Source organism: Homo sapiens, chromosome X (genome assembly GCF_000001405.40).
Source record: "Homo sapiens chromosome X, GRCh38.p14 Primary Assembly".
NCBI classification, from domain to species: Eukaryota; Metazoa; Chordata; class Mammalia; order Primates; family Hominidae; genus Homo; species Homo sapiens.
Genome location: NC_000023.11, coordinates 85,854,927 through 85,879,435, shown reverse-complemented (window position 1 = coordinate 85,879,435; position 24,509 = coordinate 85,854,927). Strand labels below are relative to the sequence as shown.

The 24,509-nt window shown below is 35.9% G+C and overlaps 1 protein-coding gene across 8 annotated transcripts in view; it reads left to right on the top strand.

Moving 5' to 3' along the window:
• CHM (CHM Rab escort protein) overlaps positions 1-18,256 on the top strand; it is a 186,379-nt gene extending 168,123 nt beyond the window's left edge. For 7 of the 8 annotated variants that reach the window (NM_000390.4, XM_047441793.1, NM_001362519.1 and 4 more), the window contains 3 exons: positions 373-471; positions 6,224-6,384; positions 14,615-18,256. In NM_000390.4, the coding sequence (NP_000381.1) occupies positions 373-471; positions 6,224-6,384; positions 14,615-14,806 (452 nt within the window). In that variant the 3' untranslated portion in view covers positions 14,807-18,256. Of the gene's footprint in view, positions 1-372; positions 472-6,223; positions 6,385-6,919; positions 9,475-14,614 lie in introns of those variants that run through there. The other variant, XM_017029242.3, reaches the window with a different exon arrangement.

Sequence of the window (24,509 nt, the reverse complement as noted above, 5' to 3'; positions counted from 1 at the left end):
TTAACTTATCAGCAAAACATGTATAAATGGGTGTTTCTGTCTGCAGTATATGAAGTGTGTTCTCTTAGGTAAATACATACCTCACTTTCAGCCTTTTTTTACCCAGTTATTCTTTAGGAATGTCATAAGTATAACAAGCTCTTTTCTGTGAATAAATGATTGTCTAAGATTTTCTACTCTGTTTTATCAAATTAACATCAACTGGTACTTCTTGGGTACTTGTTGGGTACTTCCTTTAGCTGTTAGTTAACAAATGTTGTAACCACCATGACTTGCTCAGCTCTCTATTATCCATAATACCAGCTTAATGCCTTAAGTATAAGTAAAATAGATTTGTGATGACAAGGAACTCAAATATTTTTTTTTTAACAGATTTGGTTCATTTGACTTGCACATCTTCTAAAACAGCAAGAGAAGATTTAGAATCAGTTGTGCAGAAATTGTTTGTTCCATATACTGAAATGGAGATAGGTAAGAAAAATAATTGATAACTCATGATGGAAAGGTAATGTAACCATCATAATCTTCTTAGATATATCATGAAAGTTTCTGCAACCTGAACTGAAATGGGATGTATTCAACAACAATTCACATGTTTTGATAAGATGCTTGAGCACAGTGTCTGCCTAAACATGTGGGAAAATGTTCACTCTACAATGTTAAAGGAAGTATATACATCATACACACACCAAAAAAACATAATTAAGCACAAAAATATACATTTATATGTATAGTTACACAGAAAAAGGATTGTTAGAAAATCAGTTAATTTTGGTGGGATTATGGGCAATTTTCCTTATAATTTTCTTTATTTTACAAGTGTTGTACAAAAAGCATATATTCCTTTATCAGAGAAATGTATCTTCCTTTAAGGAAAAAAGATTCAACTAACAGATTAAAATATTAATTGGCAGATGTAGAAATCCTTTCCTATCCAATAGTCTTTTTTTTTTTTTGAGACAGAGTCTCACTCTGTCGCCCAGGTTGGAGTGCAGTGGCGTGATCTCGGCTCACTGCAGCCTCCACCTCCCACGTTCAAGCAATTCTCCTGCCTCAGCCTCCTGAGTAGCTGGGACTACAGGCGAGTGCCACCACACCCAGCTGATTTTTGTATTTGTAATAGAGACGGGGTTTTCCTATGTTGGCCAGGGTAGTCTGGAACGCCTGACCTCAGGTGATCCGCCCACCTCCGCTTCCCAAAGTGCTGGAATTAAAGGCGTGAGCCACTGCATCCAGCCTCTAATAGTCTTTTAATGCATAGTGTGCTAGTGATTTAATATTTAACTCCCAAAAGTGTATATGCTACTTATTCATGGGGGAAACACATTTTAAAACTTTCCCCCTACATAATAGGGTAGCACTTGCAGCTGTGAATGGAGAAAATATGGCATATTTTCTGTGTAAATGATAAAAGAAGCCTTTTGCATTTTCTTTTATATGAAGTGAAGGTGATTTTTATTGTAGGATTTGCATGTGCACTTGAATCTTGATCATTTTCTTCCATTGATTTATATATCTTTATTTTCTTTGCATGTTACTTTTGTTCATGCAACCATTTATTTACTCATACCTGTTCTGTTTCCTTGCAGCTCATTTCCTATGTGGGTTGCTTATTTTCTTAATGCAGAGATAGTGCATAGAGGGGGGTTTATTTACATAAGAAGACAAACTGTTCTGTTCTTTAATTTTTTTTTTAATTTTATGGGTACATACTAGGCGTATATATTTATTGGGTACATGAGATATATTGATACAGGCATACAATGTGGAGTAATCACATCATGGTAAATGGGATACCCATCACTTTAAGCATTTATCATTTCTCAGTGTTACAATCATTCCAGTTATACTCTTTTAGTTATTTTTAAAGTACACTGTAAATGACTGTACTCACCCTGTTGTGCTATCAAATGCTAGATCTTATTCATTCTATTTATGTTCTGCACCCTTTAACCATCCCCACTTTTCCCTCTTCCTTCTCCATTACCCATCCTAGCCTCTGATAACCATCGTTGTACACTCTATCTCCATGAATTACATTGTTTTAATTTTTAGCTCCCACAAATGAGTGAGAACACATTAAGTTTGTCTTTCTGTGCCTAGCTTATTTCACTTAACATAATGAACCTGTTATGTTCTCAGAGGCTAATATCAATTATGTTTTTTGGGAGCTACCCAAATGAAGTATTTGAAAACTTCACTTTAATTTGGGGGTTAATTTACAAATTAAATTATTTTAGTTTTAATTTATTAATTTGTAAGTTACATATTTTCTTTATTGGAAAGTATCATATAAATGTTTAGATTATTAAAAATTTGATTGCTAAGGTAAAATACATGATAATATTCCTAAATCTAATATGGAGTCATAGTTTTTTCTTTTGGCTTTAACTACAACTATACTTTGTGTAGAAACCCTGAGTTTCTTAATTATTTCTGAAATTTTAAATAATTCTTATATTGTAATTTCATTGTGTAGTAGTCTCAATGCACTAAATATGAATCATGTCATTACTCTTCACTTTTTAAATGCATTTAATTTTCTTTAAAAAAAATCAAGCTGGGGGAAATTACATGTTCATTACTTAGCATCCTCTATCCATTTTAGATTTTTAAACATTAATCTTAATAGTTAAAGTGATCCCATTTTGAAATGATGTATTGTTTAGAACCTGAGAGGAATTCTTTGATAAGAACTATGTGCTCAGAAGGGTCCTCAGGTGCACTGAGGCACTGAAAAGCTAGTTTTCACTGACACATAGGCCTTTTTATCATCAGGATGAGGTAGTGGTCATATTTTAATTAAAATGTCAGAACAAATACTGTTGGAGTTATTGAAAATGAATCACCAGATAAAGTGAGCACTGGGCCATAGCAGGTCAAAAAGGCAAAGTCACCTGGAGAAGAGAACTCAATTCATTTTCCTGCCTAAATGAGGAAGAAGGAACTTTATGAGCAATATGAACTTCTAATACATTAAAGCACATTCTTCTCTGTAGGAGAAGCCCCTATTTTCACAGATTGATGGCTTTTAGTATTATGTTTTGATTATTTGACATTCATATAATACCTTATGCTTTACTGCATTGTAAATATTTTAGTTTAAAACATGTACCAAAGGAATAACATTATTTGGGCATATTTTCTTTTTGTTTGTCTTTGAATTCTACATTCTCTGTGCTTCATAATCCTCAGTGAAAGTCAGCCTAGTCACCTTTTAAAAAAAATCTATATAATAGCCATCCTAGTACGTGTGAAGTAGTATCTCATAGTAGTCTTGCTTTGCTTCTCCCCCAGCGATTAGTGATGTTCAACATCTTTTCAAGAACTTATTGGCCATCTGTCTGTCTTCTCTGGAGAAATATCTATTCATTTCCTTTGCACATTTTTAATTGGATTTTTTGTTGTTGTTGAGTTGTAGGAGTTCTTTACATATTCTGGATATTAATCCCTTATCAGATACATGACTTGTAAATATTTGTTGTGGCATTGTAAATAGGATTGCATTCTTGACTTAGCCCTGTGCTTGATTGTTATTAGTGTATAGAAATCCTACTGATTTTTGTGTCCTAAAACTTTACTGAAGTCGTTTATCAATTCAAGGAGCCTTTTGATGGCATCTTTAGGATTTTCTAGGTATAGAATCATATGGTCAGTGAAGCGTCTCACTCATTTTCTATCTCAAAGAGCAGCACTGCCTAAAAAAACAGAAATTTCCCTTATAGGTGTAGTTTAAAGTCCATAGCTAGTGTGTTAAGTAATTGTTGGGCTGTGAAAGCAAATGTCTTAATTCCTTTCTGTGTGTGCTGTATCCAGACTCAGTCAGGGCTATGACAGTCTCCACCACTCTGCTGGTATTACTAACATAGTTTACTCTATCCCTAAACATGGCATGCAGCTGTAGACACCATTTCTTGCTTTCTTGTTATTGTTGTGCTATAGTTGCTTTTCTTCTACCTACCCTATTCTACACTTACTCCAGTTTAATTTGCCCAAGACCCTATTCTAAATTACCTGTTACATCTTTAGTCCTTCTTACTATCAAGTTGAATGAAATGAGCTACTGCAGAAAACCAGTTCTACCCCTGGCAACTTGTGATGCACTCCTAGCCAAAGCTCAGCAACTTTAATATTTTTTGACAGTTTTGCACTTCACAACTGCATATTCTTTTTCTAGCTATCTCTTTGCCTTCCAGCTGACCTCAAAGAAAGATGAAGCAATTATATATCTCTTTAAAGTTTTAAGGTCAAAGCCTGATAATGCCCTAGTATCCAGAGCATTTATCTTCAGCCTATGTCAGTTTTTCACCTTCCTCATGGTTTCTTTTCAAAGGCGCAACGTCTATGAAATTAGTTTAAATCTATTGGATTATTCATTTCCTCCAGCGTTTATTAAGTGAAGTGTTCCTTTGAGCTGGATGTTTAATGAGATACAAGATAAGCTCTCCTAGTATATGCTTAGAAATGGGCTGGGCACTATTAAAGACTTTCCAGACCTTAGCCCACTTGTTAGCAGTGCTCCCCAAGTCTGGTATCCCAAATCATAGGAGATACATTTAAGTATCTTCCCATAAGATTCGTGTAACTAAACTCATTAATCAGTTTACTAAGAGCCATATGATGTTAGCTATAAAATATGAATTCCTTATGTTCCTTTATTTTGTCAATAGATTTAGCCACCTAATATGTTCCTACATGAAGTTAGCAATATCTTAGATGACTCGTAGATCTTAGCACCAGAAAGGGGCACCTTAGGAGATCACTTCTTCCACTCAGTTTCTTCATCCTATTCCACTAATAATTATGGATTATTCAGGTTGAACTAGGAAAATAACTTATTTGGTGTTCTTATAGTGGAGATACTGTAAATTAAATATAATAAAATCCTGTTTATCCTGATGTGGGAAATAGGGCTTTCTTGTTAATTGAATACTGCTATTAGGTGAAGATTTCTCTACATTGATTACCAATTAAATAATAGTAATTAATGAGATAATTATGCCTTTAGCATTTTCTTTGTTATTCATGAGGTGCCTCATGGTCTTGGGCAATCTTCATAAACATTCATTATTATTGTACAAAATTTGAACTTTTGTTCAGATTCAGGCTAAAGAAAACTCTCTAGTCAATGAATGTATCAACAGCAGTATTTTATGTTTTCAAACAGAAAATTTAATTATAACAGTTTTAAAGAAGAGAGGCAAATAAATGATTATCAAATTAGCAAGAAATAGGCTTTATGCATTGAGATTAGTAATGTTGGACCTTTTTATAAGCACATCGTACTTTGATCATACCTGAAAATACAATAACATCAATTCAGAAATTATTTACTGAGCATCTGTCGTGTGCTAGGCCCTATATTAGGGAACCAAAAACAAGGAAGGAGAGTAAGAACTAAGTCTACTTCATGTGTATATCCCCAGCTCCTAGCTCAATGCCTAACACGCATAAAAGACACATGCTCTTAAATGAGAGAACATGTGCTCAAAATGGCATTCACTGTTATGACTTCATTTTTGATATTTGTTGGTTGTCATTAATTTTTTAATCCAATAAGACAAAGCATTAGGATGTGAGTTAGGACAACAAAGTTTTAATCCTGTATTTACTATTTTTTTAATAATAACTTTATTGAGATATCATTCATATACCATATGATTCACCCATTTGAAGTGTACAATTCATTGTCTCTTAGCATATTTGTAGAATTGTCCATACATCACCACCATCAGTTTTAGAACATTTCCATCACCCCAAAAGAAACGTCATACCAATTAGTGATCACCTCCCATTTGCCCCCAATTTCCTTCAGCCCTAGGTAACCTACTAACCCACTTCCTGCTTATCCTGGATATTTCATGTGTATATACTATTGAATAACTATATAATTTATCAAGTTGGTTTGTCCATTTGAAACATAAGGAAATCAATTTATGTTATCTTCTCTATAGGGAAAATTTTAGGATGAATGTGATCATAAACCCTTTGATACTAGTGAGAAGAAGTAATAGAAGTCCAAAGGAGCATGACTGGAGTAAAATCTAATTAACTTACTAATCAAAATAGAGTGTGTAGATGCAAATTTACTAAATGTTTACATACGAAGCTCTGATTTCCTACTATGTCTAGTCATGGCTTAATCGGTAATAGGCTACACAGTGTAGTAATTGACAAACATATTGTATTTTAGAATGTAAATAAAATTTATTTCTATATTTAGAAAATGAACAAGTAGAAAAGCCAAGAATTCTGTGGGCTCTTTACTTCAATATGAGAGATTCGTCAGACATCAGCAGGAGCTGTTATAATGATTTACCATCCAACGTTTATGTCTGCTCTGGCCCAGATTGTGGTTTAGGAAATGATAATGCAGTCAAACAGGTAAGGCTCTTGATGTTTCTCAGTTTTGTATTAAGATGTTGGTGTGGTTGGGAAATATTTTTTCCTCTGGGAGGAGAGAAGTCTAGAAAAGCATCTCTCAGTAGTACCATTTCTGTAATTTGCCCTAAAAGTTTTTTCTATGACCTACAAAGCTACTTTAAATATACTTTAAATACAGGATCAGGTATTTTCACTTTCTTGAATAAAATGTTGAGTTACAGAGATTTTTTATGAGTTCCATCGTGGGAATGACGATAGAAGATGCTAAAAATACATATTTCATAAGAATTTATAATGCCAATATTTTAAAGAAACATTGTTTCTAACTTAAACAGTTGGACGATTGCTATATTATTTTGAAATACATAAATTATTTTTCTTGGTAAACAGTCAAGAAGGTTGTAACTACTAAGGCTTATAAAATTAATTTTACAGTAGTCTTAATGCATTTTTTAATCATAGAAAATAAGTTATAGCGTAGTTTTACATAGTTAACTTGATTCTATTTATGTTTTGACACAAATTCCTGTCCCAGGAGCTACCATTACTGCTGCTGAGGTCTATTGTAAAGTAAGGTGGAAGTTTGTGATAGCCATCCCGGTCAGGGCTATGAAGAGGCACAGTTTGATACAAGCTGCTAAAAGTGAGCCATGATTCCATTAAGCTGAATATTGATATGTATATATAAATATACTTCTTTGCCCTGGACAGGACGAAAACAAACAGAAAATATTTTTTGAGACACATTTCTAAACTTTTCACGGGTAGAACTGGCACATCTGTCCATTAAGTCAATAATTGGGTAATTTAACATTGTTCTAAGACCACAGATGGAACTTTCATTCCCGCCAGTGGCAAGGATCTTATAGTAGCAAATGTCCTGGTTGAGCCTGTAATCTAATTTTGAGTCATTGTAGCAAAGCTATGTCTATCATGAGGATACAGACATCTGCAGTTTTTTTCTAGAATTCTTGTGTATTTTCTTCAGTGCCTGATGGTGATCCTGGATAATCATATTCAGCCAGTGACACCAAACAAAAATAGGAAGTCACATCTCTCATCCATCATTCCTTCTGTTAGTTTAGTAAGAACCCAAGATGGCTGAAGATCTGCATTTATAGCTTGAAATGATCAAGTCATTTTTACCTTGATGTTCTAATTTTTTGCAAGTAGAAATTGCCAACAAGTTTTTAGCAAGGTAGCTTAGGTCATTTTTATCCCTGAATGAACTTTTAATATTTTTTAACCAAAAAAATTTAAGTAAGGGCTTATAATACAAGTACTAATGTAAGCTAAACATCTAAACTGCATGCTAGAAGATTATAATTGAGGGATAATTTTATCATGAGGTAATTTGCTTCTCAAGAATATAATCTTCAGAGGTAACATGCTATACAGTAGAAAACAGTATAGTGCTAATTTTGGTACTAATTAATATATGCTATTAAATGTAAGCAGTTTTAAATTTGTTGTATAGCTTTTAATCTCATCAATTTTGGGGGAAATATTATAATGTCTACTTTAAAGAACATTGACAATGTTTATAAATAGCTTGTGTATTCAGATAAACTGCATGCTAATTCCTGTGTATCAGCCTGTAATTATGTCAGTCACTAATTGGTGATTTCTGGTGATTGGTATTTTCCAAATGAAGATTATCCATAAAAGCTCTCAGAATATCACCTAGACTTTGCTTGTGTTGACAACACAAGCCCATGCAGATTTCTTCTTTTTTTTTTTTTTTTTTGAGACAGTCTTGCTCTGTCACCCAGGCTGGAGTGCAGTGGCGCAATCTTGGCTCACTGCAAGCTCCCCCTCCTGGGTTCATGCCATTCTCCTGCCTCAGCCTCCCAGGTACCTGGGAGGCGCTTGCCACCACGCCCAGCTAATTTTTTGTATTTTTAGTAGAGACGGGGTTTCACCATGTTAGCCAGGATGGTCTCAATCTCCTGACCTCAAGATCCACCCACCTCGGCCTCCCAAAGTGCTGGGATTACAGGCGTGAGCCACCACACCCGGCCCGATTTCTTCATTTTTAAAAAGCAAATGAAATACTTCATTTTACCAGTTGGCAGGTTTACATCTTTTCTTATTTGTAAAATGTATAGAGGTTGAGTAATGTAAACTTGACACTCTTGTTTTCATAGGGAACCATTTATGATTTGAAGATGCACCGAAAACATAAAGTGATCTGTCTTTAATACCCACAAGTTCAAATTGTGTGCTCCTGGCCTCCAAGACATTCTCTATTGCCACCGCAATACCAACCTAAGTGATAGTTGTGATTCTTTCTATGACTTGCTCATTTTTGTATTTCAGTTTTGTTTTTATTTTTCTGAAACTGACATCTGATATATCTCTTTTCTTGGTAGATGTTGTGTACCATTTACCCAAACGTACTGATGGACAGTTCCATAGTCCTCATTCCCAAGACATTGATAGCTCACTCCTTCAGGAGCCCCACCCTCTTGGAGATGTCACTACCATGGGAATAAGAATAAATAGTACCATACTCTTTGTATTTTACTTCAAGTATAAAATGAGTTAAATTGGCTGATGTTGGGCTGGGCAGGCAACTTAACCACCATTTAGAGCATTGTTTTATGGACAGATTAGCCAGTCACTTACGACGTTTGATATACAGCCCATTATTAAGTTGAGAGCTAACTGTATAGATTGAACTATCAGGTTGTTCACATACGGTAGTGCCATTTGTTTTCTCATGCCTTTGAGAGAGAGCGAGCAATTTTAGATGTCATATTTTCTGTAGCTGCCATTCATTTGAGCACTTTCTGTGTGTCAGATTCTATCCTTAGCATCTCATATATATTATCTTATTTGGTCCTCAAAACAATCTTATGAGATAAGTATTTGTGATATACCCATTTATAGATAAGGAAGCTAAGTCCTGAAGGGGCTGAATAACTTGTCCAGAGGCCCCATAGCTAGTAAGTTCTTGAGCCAAGAATTAAACTCAACTCTTTTGGATCCCAGTGCTTGTACACTCACCCAGTGTTATATGCTACTTTCAGCTTATGAGTAGGCATACATCCTAAAAACATTAAAGTACTATATTGATGAAATGTTTAATTTTGTTTGTGTTGATGTATGTTAACTAAACATAGAAATATTTTAAATAATTCACTTTGTTCTCTCTGTACTTGCCAGTGTGAGCACACCAAGTCACAATATAATTAGCCCTTTCCAATGTTTTAACCACCTGAAATTTTTTACCCTTTGATCTAACTTCTGGCTTAAAAAAGGTGAAGAGGATGAAAAGTTGCCAATCAACTATTCTGTGCTTAGAACTAGGTTTAGTTGGCAAACAAAATGCAGCAGACCAAGAAGCATTAGATACACTTTCCAGAGCATGGCAGTTGACCCTAAGAGGTTGCAGCAGTTAGAGAGAGGAGAGATTTGGGAAGGGCTGGAGTCTGGCTATTGGAAATTGGCATCAACAAGGGCCAGGGCAGATGGGCTATAGGTGGGAGTTTCATAAGCAGGTAGAACACAAGAAAGAGTGGTGTGACAACCTGCAACTGGTGCTAATCTTAGGAGGCAGGTGGTGCATGACAAGATATATGGAAGTATGTGGTGTGGGATCCAGCCACAGAGACTGGAGTTTAGGGTAAAAGCTATTCTATGGGGAGGAGGCAAAAGGGAGACAAGGTGTCAAACACAGAGGAACTAGCATAGAAGAAGTAAAAGAATTAGTAGTAATAATAATTATTATATTTATACTTAATATTTGTATTAAATGTTACTGACATTCTATTTTATGCCAAGGCACTAAGGATCCAGAGTTGACTAAAAGTATTTGTCATCCTGGAGGAATCACTGTCAGGTAAAGGAGAAAAGCATGTAAACAAATGACAGTGTAGTGTGGCGTATGTACTAATATATCCAAAGTCTAGAAATAACAGAAAGGAGAAATGAGCCCAATCTAGGAGTCAGAGAACCTTACGGAGAGGGGTATAACAGAAGAGTAGCAATTCTCCATCTAAATCAAAGACAGTAGAATTGAAACATTCTGGATGTGAAGAATAACATTGGTACCAGTCCAGGATGTAAAAGATAAATATCATGGTGTATTGTTTCATACAAATAAACAGGTATTAGTAAATCAAGAAGTCTGAGAGATGGAGGCTAGATGAAATGGTATATGATAAGATCAGAGAAGGTAGGCCTGAAGGGTTTTATTTTCTATAGTAGGAATCTTGGATTTTATCCTATTGGTGATGGGGAGTCATTGAAGAATTTTAAGCCAAAAATGGAATAAACAGAATTTTATTTTCCATTGACCCATCTGAGGATGGCATGGAGATGGATTATATGGGGGAACTCTAGAGGCAAGGAGACCAGTCCAATTCTGAGGCTATTGTAGTTGTCTAGTTGAAAGATGGTGCATGTCTGGGCTATGTCAGTGGGGAAGGAACAGATGAAGTTAAGAGATAGAAGATAAAATTGATAGAATTTGATGATTGTTTGCATGCCAAAGATAAAAGGGAGGGAGAACTTTTACAGATAGTAAAAACAGAGATGTAAGACAAAAAGACCATTAGGGGAACGGAAGTATGAGGTAATGGCTTTGTCTGATCTAGGTCCTGCTTCTACAGGGGTTGCGTGTCTCTAGCAAAGGAGTATGGTGAGTCTCCGGGATGGAGAGCAAAGACAGGCATCTGTAATGTTTAATTTCCAAATAGCCATAATAAAAAATGCAGTTAGCTATAGTTACCATGCTGTACATTAGATCCCCAGAACTTATAGCTGAAAGTTCATACCCTTAAACCAACAGCTCTACACTCCCCAGCCCCTGGCAACCACCCTCAACTTTTTTAGATTCTACATATAAGTGAGATCATGTGATATTTGTCTTTCTGTGCTTGGCTTATTTCACTTAGCATAATGTCCTCCAGGTTCATTTATCTTGTCATAAATGACAGGATTCTTCAATTCAAATTTGACAAGAGAGCAGATTTTAAGTATTCTTACTACAAACACACACACACACACACACACACACACACACACAGTGGTAACTATTAGTGGTGATGGACGTGTTAACTTAATTGTGGTAATCATTACACAGTGTATATCAAGTGACCTTGTACACCTTAAATATATATACTTTTTGTCAATTAAGTATTTAAAAACTTAAATTGTCTATAGTAATTGGCATGTCCAAGAACATACCCTTGAAGGTTTTTTATTCTGTTACCCTGTCATACTAATAAGTTCAGCTTAAATCTTGACATTTTTACTTATGTTATTATTAGTAATAATGAAAATAGCTACCATATATGTCGGCTTAATCTCTGATATTTTATAGATAAGGAAGCCAAAGCTCGGAAATTGAGAAAGCATTCCCCAAATCACATAACTGCTAAATCGTAGAGCCAGTATTTTTACTGAGGCTATCTTTTCAAAACCCATGAGCTTAAACAAGTGCTATAGTCCTTAAAGTCCAGGGAATGGAAATTCTATCAAAAAGCAAATAGTTGAACAAACAGTGAAGAGTTTTCTTCATTTGAACAGTGACTTGTTAAAATTACTATATGCTAAATTAGACTATACCAGTATCACATGTGGGCTTGTATTAGTCTGTCCTCACACTGCTATAAAGATACCACCTGAGACTGTAATTTATAAACAAAAGAGGTTTAATTGACTGACAGTTCCTCATAGCTGGGGAGGCCTAAGGAAATGTAAAATCAGGGTGGAAGGCAAAGGGGAAGCAAGGCATGTCTTACATGGCGGCAGGAGAGCAAAGAAAGCAAAGAGGGAACTGCCAAACACTTTTAAACCATCAGATCTTGTGAGAAGTCACTATCACGAGGACAGCATGGGGAAAAGTGCCCCCATAATCCATTCATCTCCCACCAGTCCCTCCCTAATACTTGTGGATTACAATTGCAAATGAGATTTGGGTAGGGACATAGAGCCAAACCATATCATTCTGCCCCGACCCTTCCCAAATCTCATGTCCTTTTCACATTTCAAAACCAATCATCCCTTCCCAACAGCCCTCCAAAGTCTTAAAACTCATTCCAGCATTAACTCAAAAGTCCACGTCCAAAGTCTCATCTGAGACAAGTCAAGTCCCTTCTGCCTATGAACCTGTAAAATCAAAAGCAAGTTAGTTACTTCCAAGATACGATGGGGTATAGGCATTGGGTAAATGTCCCCATTCCAAATGGGAGAAATTGGACAAAACAAAGGGGCCATAGGCCCCATGCAAGTCCAAAACCCAGCCGGGCAGTCATTAAATCTTAAAGCTCCAAAATCTCCTTTGACTCCATGTCTCACATCCAGGCCATGCTGATACAAGGGCTAGGCTCCCACAGCCTTGGGCAGTTCCAACCCTGTGGCTCTGCAGGGGATAGGCACTGTGCCTGCTTTCATGGGCTGGCATTGAGTGCCTGTGACTTTTCCAGGTGCATGGTGCAGGCTGTCAGTGGAGCTACCATTCTGGGGTCTAGAGGACAGTGGCCCTCTTCTTACAGCTCCACTAAACAGTTCCCTAGTGGTGACTCTTTGTGGGGGCTCCAAGCCCACATTTCCCTTCAGCACTGCCCTAGCAGAGGTTCTCCATGAGGGCTCTACCCCTGCAGCAGACTTCTGCCTGGCCATCTAGGCGTTTCCTAACATCCTCTGAAATCTATGCAGAAGCTCCCAAACCTCACCTCTTGTCTTTTGTGCACCCTCAGGCCCAACATCACGTGGAAGCTGGCAACGCTCGGGGCTTGCACCCTCTGAAGCAACAGCCCAAGCTGTACCTTTATTCCTTTTAGCCATGGCTGGAGCTGGAGCAGCTGGGATGTAGGGTACCATGTTCCAGGGCTGCACAGAGCAGTGGGGCCCACCCAGCCCACTAAACCATTTTTCCTCCTAGGGAAGATCTCTGACATGCCCTGGAGACATTTTCCCCATTGTCTTGTCTATTGACATTTGGCTCATCATTGCTCATGCAAATTGCTATAGCCAGCTTGAATTCCTCCCCAGAAAATGGTTTTTTCTTTTCTCCCACATGGTCAGACTGCAAATTTTCCAAACCTTTATGCTCTGCTTCCCTTTTAAACATAAGTTCCAATGTGAAGGCATCTCTTTGTGAACACACATGACTGAGTGCTTTCAGAATCAGCTGGGTCACCTCTTGAATGCTTTGCTGCTTAGAAATTTTTTCTGCCACATACCCTAAATCATCTTTCTCAAGTTCAAAGTTTCACAGATCTCTAGGGCAGGGAGAAAATGCTACTAGTCTCTTTGCTAAAGCATAGCAAGAGTCACCTTTGCTCCAGTTCCCAATAAGTTCCTCATCTCCATCTGAGGCCACCTCAGCCTGGACATCATTGTTCATATCACTATCAGCATTTTGGCCAAAACCATTCAACAAGTCTCTAGAAAGTTCCAAATTTTCCCACATTTACCTCTCTTCTTCTGAGCCCTCCAAACTGTTCTAACCTCTGCCTGTTACCCAATTCCATAGTCACTTCCACATTTTCAGGTTATCTTTTAGCAGTACCCCACTCCTGGTACCAATTCTCAATGCTAGTGCCTCTTACACTGCCATAAAGATACTACCTGAGACTAGGTAATTTGTAAACAAAAAAGGTTTAACTCACAAGGCCACATGGCTGGGGAGGCCTCAGGAAAGTTACAATCATAGCAGAGGGTGAAGGGGAAGCAAGGCACATCTCACATGGTGGCAGGAGAAAGAGAAAAGGGGGAACTGCTAAATACTTTTAAACCATCAGATATTCTGAGAACTCACTATCACAAGAACAACATGGGAACAGCCGCCCCCATAATCTAGTCACCCCCTAACACGTGGGGATAACAATTTGAGATGAGATTTGGGTGAGGACTCAGAACCAAACCATATCAAGGCTCTATAAGAAATCATATAAACAATATTAAGGAAATTGTATTTCTATTGATATATAGAATGAATGTATTTCAGTTCTCAACAATCTGAACACTTGATAATGAACCTGATGAGGTACTGCCATCCTTGAAGAGTGGACCTCAATACATGTATAGAATTAAAGGGAGAAGTCATAGAATTCTGAAAACAGACTTACGGAAGTTCATGTATTCTGATTAAGTACTGTAGCCTGTTTAAGCAAATTTTTAAGGATAAAACACTTATTTTTTTTTAGTTAATGCCAGAAATGCACACACATTTTAAACCGATTTCCAAAAACGATTTTATCTTTTCTTCCTTGGCCAGGCTGAAACACTTTTCCAGGAAATCTGCCCCAATGAAGATTTCTGTCCCCCTCCACCAAATCCTGAAGACATTATCCTTGATGGAGACAGTTTACAGCCAGAGGCTTCAGAATCCAGTGCCATACCAGAGGCTAACTCGGAGACTTTCAAGGAAAGCACAAACCTTGGAAACCTAGAGGAGTCCTCTGAATAATGGATATACACCAAACTGGATACCCAACTTTGGAAATTCTGACTGGTCTCAGAGTCTACTTGATAGAAGGACTGTTTGAGAAATGTTAGAAAGCAGCAGCAATTATAAGGCAAAATAGGTAATAGAAATCCAAAAGGGGATTTTCCTTATAGAGGACATTCCAAGAACACACAACACTTATAAAGCACATTGACTTGCTCATTTTAAATACCAAACTTGTGTGACTAGCAGATGAAAATTATAAATCAATTGATTCTCAGGAATGTAACTGTGGATATGAAAGTGATCCTATGCATTGTTAATAATTCCATGGTCTTAGGACAATTTTGCTTACCACTTTGGATCTTTGTTTGAAAGCCACATTTTCAGAACCAGCTCATGTATTTTCTTTGGTTATTTGAATTTTATTTTCTTTATGGACAAGAGCATCATAACATAATGATAAAAACATATAGAAAAACTAAAGTATCATGATCTAGATAGAAGCCTGTATTTGGAATACAGGTTTGTTTTGCTTTCTATGTTGAGAAGCATTGAAAATGCTAATATAAAGGTGTTTAGACATTTTTACGAATAAGTCAGTAGTGTTTTTTAGTATCAGTAGTGATATTTGTTTGTAAATTATTTACATATTGGGAAAGGTCAATAATGAAGAAATGAAAGAATGGAAGGAAAGGTGTGGATAGGCTCATTGGTATTTGAATATTCTGTCTGTCAAGTAACTAGAGTATTAGGCTAATTGTCTACAGACCTAATTTAATCCTGGCTGTCCTACTGATGATATTTGGTAAATTGTTTAACTTCTGAGCCTACGTTTCTCCATATATAAAGTGGAAATAGTATTACTATGCCTACTATATGAGAATGGTTATGAAGACAATGCAATGCCATGTTTAGAATCGGTTTGCCAGAAGAAAATTGTTTTAGAATTTTCCCATTGACTTGATGAATCTCAAAAGTCTCACGCAGGAAATAATTGCTTGCTGTCAGTCAACTTCCAAACAAAATAGATCACAGTGTTTTTATTGCATTAAGCTTTTTAAATGAAAATTTCTTTTTTAAAGTAGTATTTTATAGTCTTACAGACCAGTAAAAATAGTAACAAGTAGAATTGTGGTTTTGAAATATTACTAAGGAAAACACTCTATAAATTGTTTTATTCCTTTTCTGGTAGGTAAACCTGCAACCACCAAGGACTCCAAATTGTGTATGACAGTTGGTAAGCCCTAATATACACTACATAAAAACGTTAGGGCTGCCTGTAATCCCAGCACTTTGGGAAGCTGAGGTGGGTAGATCACTTGAGGTCAGGAGTTCGAGACCAGCCTGGCCAACATGGCGAAACCCTGTCTCTACTAAAAATACAAAATTTTAGCTGGGTGTTATGGTGGGCACCTGTAATCCCAGCTACTTTGAAGATGAGGTAGCAGACTCACTTGAACCAGGGAGGCGGAGGTTGCAGTGAGCCAAGATTTTGCCACTGCACTCCAGCCTGGGTGACAGAGCAAGACTCTGTCTCACAAAAAAAAAAAAAGGGGGCTGTACATAGGCAGCAAACTAAGCTGCAGTGATGTTGCCTATATTTAAATTTTCTCAAATGGCCAAGCTCTGATGGTCTACTTTATTTGAGCAATAGTTGAGACTTATAATTGCCTATAAATAAACAAACAAATGAACTATTTGTTTTTTTTTCTCACAACATCTGGCCTATATTGTCTGTCAGGAAGCCATGGCTCCAATGTAAAGTACATAGTTCTTACATACTTCAACTGCAGCTGGTCCCTGACCTCACCAGGTTTCAGAGATGTTCTTAAAGGAAGCCAGCTGTGGCAGGTCACAGATTCATGGGAAATGGAAAGAACCAAGGAATATAGCTCTTGCCTCACCTTTCTACCCACTGCAGATATAGTTCAAGCCAGAGTAATGGAAGAACTTAACTTACTAGCCTCTCAGGCTGCTCCTATCCCTACCTCCCAGTGTACAGCCCCTCCCCATCTCTTTAGTCCCCTTTCCCTCACTTCCCCTTTTATAATGTCACACAAATCAGGGACAGTAGGATCACATTATAACCTACTTTGTCATAGGGATTCGATTTTTCTTATATCAAATCATGTTTCCTGAAACCCAGCTGGGGCATATGCACTCAATGTCTAATACATACTTATTAATGTACCGGATATTGGCCTTGCCCCTGGATATCAGCAATATATTATAAAAGGTTCCAGTAGATGAGACGATTGAGTCTGAATACAATTGCAGTAAATTGTGCCAATAAAGATATTGTACTGTTACGGTCTTAGAGTTAAAGCCGCTTGAATGCAGCATGCACATTCATGTAAACAGACAATCAGGGTAGGCCTAGAATAACCACAAAAATTCTATTGGCCTTACTGCAGCCACCTATATGTAGAACAATGGAGGAGATAGTTTGTGGTCCATTATTGTACCCTGTTTCATCCATTAGCATCAGAATCTCTCTTTCAGGTCATTTATTAAATATGATTGAAATGTTTAAAAGTTCCTGAACATGATTCATGATGATTAAAATATCATACAACTGATAAAAGACTTTAAGAACTTTATATATTTCCTGTTGCCTCAAAATGTAACAGAAATTATTCTTAGAGCTTTGATTTTAGCTATCCTAATTACTGCAAATAAATATTTGTTCTTATAGTTTTAAATCAAAAAGAAAAGTCTTGTTATAAAACCTTAAGCTTGAAATCATATTAATAAAATATATTGTACATAGTGGAAAATTTTCAGTAGCTAATTTAAAATTTCAGAAAATGCTATTAAAGAATTTTGATTCAAGTATTTAAACTGTTTAGTTATGCATGCTTCTTATTAACCGAAAATGATAATACCATTTAGTTTAGTGATCAGTATGAGAAGCAATACCTAATCCTATGTTGCTATTGTATTTTTTCCTAGTTGGTGTGCCTGCTCAGAAAAACATATACTGTATGTGTATACATACCTGTGTATATATAAAAGGTCAATTTATATATTTTTCTATAGGAAAATGGAGTAACAAGTTCCCTATCTCCCATATTTATTTGTCCATAGTAAAATGGCCACATTGATGATAATTTCTAGAACTAGTTTCTGAGATTGTCAGCCCTTTGTCTAAAATAATGGCAGTATTAATGATTGACTTCTGTCACTGCCATAGTTACCTGGATTGTCAGCCTTGGTAGCCTTTGTCTAAAGTCCTAAAGAGTTCCAAAAAAAATGTGTTGAAATTTAATTGCTAAATAGTGGTTGGTGATTCTTTACAGTAGGAATTGTAATAATTTTCTTGCAAATAAGTTATTTACTGCTATTGATATTGAATAATTTGTCTTTTATTCAGATATATTTCAAAAAGCATGAATATATGATTATTCATAAATTGTATACTTTACCAGTAAGTTTTCAGAGGAAATAAAGACTTTTAAATCCTTTTCAGTCATGGTGTCATATTTTGTAATACTTGCATCTTTTATATATGCCAAGAATTTGAAGATTGCCTTTAACCTGATTTATGTTTTAATATTAGTCTAGTATGTAAATACTTAATTGTCAAGCTGTATATTTGGTTTTGTTTTTAGGCATCTGCCAACTGTGCTAAGTTTGTGAGAAAGGCAATGAAATAATATAGGGGCATGAGCTACTTTGCAAACTGTTCTAGATGCCAACATTAGTGCCAATATCAAACAAAGGTGGATGATACCTTTCTCTGTTTGGAATCAGTGCTGTAGAGGCTGTGCGGCATGGGCTGTGAATTTACAGTACATTGATTGCCTACAGACTGTTTTCACATCTCACTTACATGATGAGAATCTGAAAGGTTTTTCATATCTGCTTTGTAAATGAGAACCTGAAATGTTTTTCTTTAAGGGGTTTGAGTCCCCAGCAACTCATTTGCAAGAGACAAGAGACTGCTGATGTTCTTTTTATGCAGAAATTATACACTAAACTATGATTTGCTATTGAGTCAAATAATTAAAGCAGACTCACACTTTTTGTCAATTTCAAGTAGTTTCTAAAGTTCCTCAGTAAGGAGACATTAAAAAGATAACAGGACTCTCAAAACTGGCAGCTTATCTGTGAGATTATTAATTAATCAATTTTAAGAAAGATAAGATTAATTGAATTTTTAAATAAATAGCTGTATTATCCTTCAAGCACCTTGAAACTCATACAATATTCACACTTTAAAAAAAATGGTTCCAAATGTTTGAATTTTCTTTAATGATGGCTGTTTAAAAATACTGGTTAAGTGGTTTAACACTTAGTATCCCAAGTCACATTTTGAAGGCTACTTTTCTTTCCATTGATGCACAATTTAGCTTTGGGGCTGCAATGAGATACCCTTGTGGTATAAGTTGCCATGTCTGCTCTTTCTGGTGATGATGACTCCTAGGACAATATGACAGGTAATCATTAGAACCTGGATCCTGGTAGACTGTAGGGTCTTTTTGGTCTATCGTTGAAGGGGGATTTGTGCTTGTAACTCCTATTAATAGGACTTGCATGTGTAAATCTTCCTCCTGTCAATGAGACAGTTGACTCCTAAAAGAAACATTCTTTAGAGGTGGACACTGTAACTGATCTAGAAGCCTCAGTGAATTGTCCTATTCAGGATTTTTATGTGTGGGGAAAAAAATAGAATGAGTGTACCAACTTAGCCGAGCATTTTCTCCAGAACTTGAAAAGGTGAAATACTAGCACTTAATTTTTCCATTTCCATTTCTAAAATATGTTAGAAACTACTGCTCTATGTGTACTATTAACATAGCATTTTTTCTCTTATTTTTAAAAGTAAAATAAGTTTGCCCAAGGTTGTGTTGAAATCACATTTTAATATGTCAATACCATCCTGAAAGTTCTGGAAATTAACATCTTAAAGCTATATAATAAAATCCAGTCTCATAACAATCAAGGAAATGCAGACAAACCCAGGAGATATGTTTTGTTTATCAAGTTGGCAGAATCCCAAATACTGATAATAGCCAGGGTGGTAAGGATGTAGGGGAAAAGACACTCATACATTGTGAGTAAGAAAGTACATAAGTAGGTTACAGCATATTCAAAGGACAATTTGGCAGAACCTGTCAAAACTTTTTTTTGCAGATTATTAAAATGGCATTATTTTTAATATTTACAAATTTTTTCAGTGCCACTTTTAGCTTCAGGCAGTACATATGAAGGAGTATTACATGGGAATATTGCATGATGCTGAGGTTTGGGATATGAATCCCATCACCCAGATAACATAGTACCCAGTAAGTAGTTTTTTTTTTATTATTATTATACTTTAAGTTTTAGGGTACGTGTGCACAACGTGCAGGTTAGTTACGTATGTATATATGTGCCATGTTGGTGTGCTGCACCCCAGTAAGTAGTTTTACAATGTGTGTCCCCCTCCCTCCCTCCCTCCCTCCCTCCTCTAGTAGGCTGCATTGTGTTATTACCATGTTTATGTCTACATGTGCTCAGTGTTTAGCTCCCACTTACAAGTGAGAACATGCTGTATTTGGGTTTTCTGTTCCTGTATTTGTTTAGGATTATGGCCTCCATCTCCATCCACATTGCTGCAAAGGCCATGATCTCGTCTTCTTTTTTTTTTTTTTTTTTTTTTTTTAATGGCTGCATAGCATTTCAAGGTGTGTAAGTACCACATTTTCTTTATCCAGTCTGCCATTGATGGGCACCTGGATTAATTCCAGGTCTTTGCTATTGTGAATAGCACATTGATGAATATATGAGTGCATGTGTCTTTTTGGTAGAATGATTTATTTGGCATCAGAAATGCAAATCAAAACCTATCAAAACTTTAAATACAGATAGCCTTTGGCCAAACACTTTCATTTCTAAAAACCCAGCTTATAGAATGTTTTGTACATGTGCACAAAATACAAGGTTCCACACTATAGCTTTATGGTTTTATTTAATTTTTGAAATAACCTATATGTTCATTAAATGGAGACTGGCTTGAATTGTTAATATAGGCATTTAATAGTATAGAATACTATGCAGCTGCGAAAAGTGAGGTGCATCTGTATGAAATATATCTCCAACATGTTTAAAAACCAAGTCACAGAATGGTAAGTATATATGTGTAAAAATCAAAACCCTGTGTTTATTACATATATATGCCTATCATAGAAAATTTTTGGGAAGTTACATACTAAAATGGTAACTGGTTATGTTGGGAAGAGATTAGTATTCGTAGGAGGAGAATGAAAAGACTTCTAATTCTACATAATTGTTTTAGTTTTCCAGTTTTTTATAACTAGCAAGTATTCACGTATTGTTGTATTTAAAATTTGAATCTGTTTAGTAATCCAACGCCAAGTTCTTAGGTGGCATGTGGGACCTCCAAAAATAGTGACTTCAGACTTTGGGTTACATTGATGTTTTATAAAGTGCAGTTCAGATATGAAAGGTAATAATCAACGGGTGACTAGTTACATAAACTATGATTCATCTCTTACAATGGAGTACTATGCAGTTGTAAGATGGAATTAGGAAACTACTGCTTATGTGATCACCAGAATACACTTTTAAGTGACAGAAGAATATACACAAATGTGCATGTATATCTTCATTTTGTGTGAGAAAGGTAGGGGCATTCCAAAACACATATTTAAATAGTCATCTATTGTGAAAGGGAGGAGGCAGGGTGGAGGAATGGAAGCTAGACCTCTTTGTACCTTGTTTTATAGTTTTGGCTTTGAAACCAAAAGCAATCCGTAAAATGTGAAGCCATTAATAACCATGTATTGAGTTGTTGGCATAACTGTATGTAGAATTAGGTGACTTTAAAGCATTGGTATAGTTTGGATCTATGTCCCCACCCGAATCTCATGTTGAATTGTAATTCCTAATGTTGGAGATGGGGCCTGGTGGGAAGTGATTGGATCATAAGGGCATATTTCTCATGAATAGTTTAGTACAGTCCTCTTGGCACTCACCTCATGATAGAGAGTGAATTCTCACGAGACCTGGTCATTTAAAAGTTCTCTTTTGCTTCTGCTTTCACCATGATTGTAAGTTTCATGAGGCCTTCCCAGAAGCCAAGTAGATTCCAGCATCATGCTTCCTGTACAGCCTGCAGAACTGTGAAACAATAAAACCCGTTTTCTTTATAAATTGCCCAGTCTCAGGCATTTCTTTATAGCAATGCAAAAGTGGACTAATACAAGCATAGTATTTAAGTATATATTGTAAGATATGGAGATGGGTAGAGAACACAAAGAAATCTTAAACTTTATTGAGTGGACTTGATGATAGTGCTAATATTTATTGTGATAGATAATGTTGATGGGATTATTAACATTTAGAACAAGAAAATAATATACAAACAAAGATAAGTAAAAACCCTGTGCTCTTTAGTTTGAATCAGATCAGTGTATGCGTATGCTCAAACTCATCAAATTGTACAGATTAAATATGTGCAGTGTTTGGATTTCAATTATACCCCCCCCCAAAAAAAAATCAATATACACTCAAGATGCAGTTACTTCATTCTAATATATTTTCTAGCTAGAAAATTGGCAAAGGCTACTGGTGTTATGTCAAAAGAACATAAGAACCAATGTGAAGGAACTCCCATTGGTCACAGATAAGGCCATTTGAACATCAAGAGTGAATAATGATACTCCAAAAAGCAAACGAACCTCATTGACCAGCCATGAAGATTGCTAAGGCACTCTTTGTTCTAGAAACTAATAAATAAAGAGAAGGAAGCAATTATCATATATGTCCTGTAAAGACTGTATTTCAGGATATCCAAATAGTTGTTAAAGGAAAGTTCTTGTAGAAGAATCACAATTAATAAATGCATGAGGAATGATAGAATTAGAAAAATCACTGTTTTGTAAACTCAATATAGTATAATAATATACCTAGGCAATGATTATCAATGACTGCTAAAACCTGTAGTTGAAAGGCATCACTCGAACCTACTGATCAATCTTAAAATTATTATAAGTAGAAAGGCAGACATTATAAGTTTCCTTGTGTGTTGAAATAGAAAGTATACAGCATTGCCTAGGAAGAATTCTTGCCAAAATAAAAAAATAAAATGAACCTAAATCTAATCAAGCCTTTAGCTTTAACTACCAGCTTACAGGCATGAGGGGGACAGGAAAGCATGCTAAGTGACATCATGAAGATACAACGTGTAAAATTCTACAGGACAAATGACCCAATTTTATCAACAATTAACTGGCACAGGAAAAAAAATGGAGGAAGCATTATTACAGACTAAAGGAGATTTTAGAGATATCAACTGCAACATGCTGACCTTGTTTTGAACAAATGACATCTTTTTTTTTTTTTTTTTTTTTTAAGATGGAGTCCTGCTCTGTTGCCCAGGCTGGAGTGCAGTAATGTGATCTGGGCTCATTGCAACCTCCGCTTCCCGGGTTCAAGTGATTCTCCTGCCTCAGCCTCCCAAGTAGCTGGGATTACAGACGCAGGCCACCATGCCCAGCTAATTTTTTTCAGCTAATTTTTTTGTATTTTTAGTAGAAACGGGGTTTTATCATGTTGGTCAGGCTGGTCTGGAACTCCTGACCTCAAATGATCCGCCCACCTCAGCCTCCCAAAGTGCTGGGATTACAGGCATTAGCCACAGCACCCAGACTGACATCTTTTTTTTTTTTTAAAGCAAAATCCAGACCGTTTTGAGACAATCAGAGGGAATTGAACATTTACTGGATGATAGTTGATATAAGGAATTCATATTAATAGTGTTGAATGAGAAAATTTTAATTTTTAAAAGATATCTCAGATTTTAAAAATAGATGAAATAAGTAGAACAAAATATTAATGATTAAATACATGATATATGGGGAGTTGTTTCTATTATGTATTTTCTATTGTGTTTAAAATTTTTCATAGTAAATTTTTTAAATGACAGATAAAGGTTAATAATAATATATAGGTTAATAATAATAACCTACCTGTACATTGTTTCTTCCTTTACAACATAACTACCCTCCACTATTTCTGAAAAGGAGGTCCTATAGGATTCAGTTCAGTCCTATATACTTTGTTTTATAATGTTTTGAAACCAGGGACTCTAAAAATCACCTGTTTAAATTTATTACCTTTGATTGATGTCTTCCCAGGCCAGAGGAAGAAAGAGAAAGAGGTAGTGTGGCTGAGCAACACTGGCACAGGGCAAGGTCAGGAAGAATAAACATGTTTACAGAGTCAGCCCCTCTCCCTCTCTCTTCCCCTTAGTTAAAAATTTAAAAATGAAAATGGCATTATTGAGTACCATGGAGTGGAGGGAATTTATAATCTTACGACTTAGATTGCCTACTTTATTATCACCAATCTATGATAAAATTGTTAATGCTTTTTAACCTCTAAAATGTTTCTATCTAGGCAGTCTTTAGACGTTGCAGCATGGAGTCTGCTACTAATTTCCACACATGAAACCTTTTTGATGCCTCACATTTGGACTTGTGACACTATTCTATGAGAATCTGTTGAATATTTTTTTCAGAAACAGCCGAAAATATATATTGTATAATATATGCTCCAATTATCCAGTAAAAAATTCAATCTTTGCCCTATATTAAAAATATAATTTATTGTGAAATGATATATGTATACATTGTGAAATGATTACCACAATCAAGATAATTAGTATATTCATTTATTCAGTTTCCTTTATGTTTGTATGTTTGTGGTGAGAACA